The following is a 4,060-nucleotide window of genomic DNA, read 5'->3' on the forward strand; positions in this document are numbered from 1 at the left end:
TATCCAGAGACAGAGATGGAGACGAGGGGGAGATGGGGAGGGAGGGAGAGAGAGAGAGAGAGAGAGAGACATGCGGACATGGGAAGAGACAGAGACACAGAGAAAGCAGAGACAGAGAGAGACACAGGAAAGCTGAGACAAGGGAGAGAGGCAGAGACACAGAGACACAGAGAAACAGAGATGGCGCAAGAGGAAAGGAGAGAGAAACCCAGGACTTAGAGACAGAGCCCCAGAGAGACTCCGAACAGACCCCGGCACAGAGACACAGAGAGAGGGAGACAGGAGTGAGAGACTGAGAGACAGGGACTCCCAGAGGCGGCCAGACTCTGCTAGACAGAGACCCCTGAGACATGTGGAGAGACAGAAAGATGAGACCCAGACACAGGAAGGCGGGGGCAGAGGTAGAGAGCGCGAGGGGGGGTGCCCCAGACGGGGTGGGGGCGGGGTGTCCTCGCCCCCCAGTACCCAGGCGGTCCCCCTCCCCAGCCGCCCGAGAACCAGGAGGGACTGAAGGTGTTGGGGCGGCTGGTGGCACTCCCACCCCACAGAAGGTACGCGTGCTGGGCCAGGCAGCCCCCCACCTCCATAAACCAGCCCAGGGAAGCCAGCTCCAGGCTTCCCGAACCGCCCCCACTCCGCACCTGGGGTAACCCCGTCCTTTTCCCACGCCCCCACCTCCCCACCAATGGGGTCTCTTACCTGCGGCTACAGCCTGGAGCAGGTCCCCCCAGCGCTGGGCTGGCAGTGGTGGGCGACTCCGCCCGAAAGAGAGAGAGAGATTGAGAGAGAGAAAAGCCTGAGACTGAGAGGGAGAGCCGGGGAGGAGGGGAGGGAGAGGGGATAGAGGGAGGAGAAGAGGAGAGGGGAGGGACACGGGGGAGGGGGAGGCGGCGAGGGAGCGAGGGAGGGGGAGGAGCCGGAGAGAGGGGGAGGAGGCGGAGGCGGGCAGAGGGAAGGCGGTGCGGGAGGCGGGGGGAGGCCCGGGGAGGGGCCTGGGGGAGCAGGGAGCCCGAGCCTCCTCCCCAGCCTCCGGGTTCAGCACCAGAGGCAGGGGACAGCACCGGAGGGCGCTCCTGTGTGTTTCAGAAGCAGCCCCCGCCCCCCAACACACACACACACACACGCACACACACACACGCACGCAGTCTCCCAGCCATACAAGGGCCAACAGCTACAAATAGTTACAGACTTACAGAACTAGGGGGAGGGCAAGAATGTTTAGCTGGAGTCAGATCCAAATTCACATACTGTGCCTGCACAGCCTCACAAAGGAGGCCAGAAACAACCACAAAGACACCCATTAATAAGAATAACAACAGCTGCCATACATACAGGCAGCCCTGACCACGTGCCTGGCATCGGCAGCACATTATTATTATTTGAGACAGGGTCTCACTCTGTCACCCAGGCTGGAGTGCAGTGGCACGATCTTGGCTTACTGCAGCCTCAACCTCCTGGGCTCAAGCAATCCTCCTGCCTCAGCCTCCTGAGTAGCTGGGACTACAGGTGCCCGCCACCACCACGCCAGGCTTTTTCCCTCCATTTTTTTTTTTTAGGAGATGGGATCTCACCATGTTACCCAGGCTGGTCTCCAACTCCTGGGCTCAAGCGATCCTTCTGCCTTGGCCTCCCGAGTAGCTGGGACTACAGGTGCCCACCACCACCACGCCAGGCTTTTTTTCTCTTCATTTTTTTTAAGAGACGGGGTCTCACTATTTTACCTAGGCTAGTCTCCAACTCCCGGGCTTAAGCAATCCTTCTGCCTCGGCCTCCCAAAGCGCTGAGATTACAGGTGAGAGCCACCGCACAGGTGAGAGCCACCGCACCTGGCATGTTCTAATGTTTTTTATAAATTTAGGTAAATGCTATTATGAGCTTCACTTACAGACAGGGAAACCAAGGCATGAGGTGGTAAATATGGCTCCAGATTCTACACCCTTAACTGCTGCACCGCACAATTCCCCAGGCTGAGGACGGGTCAGGTCAAGAAGAGACTTGCAGGCTGGGTGCGGTGGCTCACGCCTGTAATCCCAGCACTTTAGGAGGCTGAGGCGAGCAGATCACTTGACGTCAGGAGTTGGAGACCAGCCTGGCCAACATGGCGAAACCCTGTCTCTTCTAAAAATACAAAAATTAGCCAGGCCAGGTGGCACACGCCTGTAATCCCAGCTACTTGGGAGGCTGAGGCAGGAGAAATCGCTTGAACCTGGGAGGTGGAGGCTGCAGTGAGCTGAGATCATGCCACCGCACTCTAGCCTGGGTGACAGAGTGAGACTCCATCTCCAAAAAAAAAAAAAAAAAAGAAAGAAATGAACTGCAAAGGGCCAGGCAGGTGGCCTGGGCTCCTGAAGACACAAACTCATGCACCCTGCGATGGGCCCACACACATACCCCCACGCAAGCACACACCTCTGCAAGGCACACCAGCACTACACCCACCCCCAATCCTGCTCCCCCCCACAACAGGGGGTGATGGCGTGTTAGTCGGTGTGGAGTGCTCCTTCTCTAGAGGCGGACAGTGGGAGGGAGGGGGCCTTGCTCGTGCCACCGGTCCTGCCCACTGCCAGTCCTGGCTGGACACCGTCAGGCCTGCTGGCCAGGGGAGGGAGAGGATCCGGCTTCCTCCAACTTCCCACGCCTGGGCCTGGCTTCTGGGAAAGAGGGTGAAGACAGGGGTGGCCAGGAGTTGCTGAGCTCCTAACTCCCATAAACGCTCGGTAGAGAACTGGTGGCTGGGTCTTCCCTGTCAGTGCTGGTGGTCAGACTTCTGAGTGGACCTCCATAGCGGGAGGTAGACAGATGGCCAAAATGACTACGGTGTCTGCCTCTCCCCTGAACCCCCAGGAAGCAGATGTCCTGCCCAACCCCTGCCCCCAGCCTGGATACGGCCCAGGGAATGATCATCCCCCAACCCTGCTGACCCAGATTCTATTCCTGGCCTGCAGTGGACGGAGGACAAGACTTCCATCGTTCCCACCCTCCACTGATCCTAGAGACACAGGCCTCTGATTCCTTCTCCTGGTAATACAGAACGGAGCACAGGAGGCCGGGCTCAGTGACTCACGCCTGTCATCCCAGCACTTTGGGAGGCCGAGGCGGGCAGATCACCTGAGGTCAGGAGTTTGAGACCAGCCTGGCCAACACGGTGAAACCCTGTCTCTACTAAAAATACAAAAAAATTAGCCAGGCGTGGTGGCGTACGCTTGTAATCCCAGCTACTCAGGAGGCCGAGGCAGGAGAATCGCTTGAACCAGGAGGTGGAGGTTGCAGTGAGCCGAGATCGCGCCACTGCACTCCAACCAGTGCATCAGAATGAGACTCCGTCTCTCACACACACACAAAAGACCACAGGCAAGGCAACTCCTACCACCACAGGCTGGGAGAATCAGGCTTGTCTCCCACTCCCTGGGCCCCCAACCCCCTAGGCTTTTTAGATTAGGTCTAAGCTTAGCCCTTTCCAGCATGGTCTAGCCTGGGTCTTCTCCCTGGGTCTTGCCTCAGTGCTCTCCACTGGGAACTAAGCTCACTTTCTGCTGGGGTTTAACCCTGGCCCCTTGCACAGGATCTGGCCATAGCAATTTTTTGTTGGGGTCCAACCTCAGCATTATTCATAGGGAGTCTAGCCTCAGACCCTCTGCTACAAATGGACCACTGCTTTCCCACAGCAGCCCTTTCTACCCACAAGTTTTCCTCTAAACGCTCAAGCTCCTTACCTTTCCACTGGGATCTACCCTTAGATCTAGATCTTTCCACTGGGGTCTCATGTCAGCTCTCTCCACTAGGGTCTAACCTCAGCTCTTTCCCTTCCATTTTACGTAATCTGTTCCACAGTGGTTTAACTTTTAGCCTTTCTGCTAAGGTGTCACCCCATTTCTTTCTCTTGGGTTCTACCCTGGGATCTAACCTCCGGCCTGTATCTGGGTCTAGCCTTGGATTCCCTCTCCCCCAAATCCCTCTCCCTCAATTCCTCTGGGTGAATCCAGCATCCAACACAGAGCCAGGCATACAGCAGGTGCTCACCAAATGCTTGCCGAAAAAAAGAATCGAGACAACTGGGAAA

General features: G+C 57.3%; 1 protein-coding gene across 1 annotated transcript in view; it reads right to left on the minus strand.

Moving 5' to 3' along the window:
- SLC8A2 (solute carrier family 8 member A2) overlaps positions 1-804 on the minus strand; it is a 43,877-nt gene extending 43,073 nt beyond the window's left edge. The window contains exon 1 of the mRNA NM_015063.3: positions 700-804. The gene's annotated coding sequence lies outside the window, so the exon portion shown is untranslated. The remainder of the gene's footprint in view (positions 1-699) is intronic.

The sequence above is a fragment of the Homo sapiens genome, chromosome 19, assembly GCF_000001405.40.
Source record: "Homo sapiens chromosome 19, GRCh38.p14 Primary Assembly".
Lineage (NCBI taxonomy): Eukaryota > Metazoa > Chordata > Mammalia > Primates > Hominidae > Homo > Homo sapiens.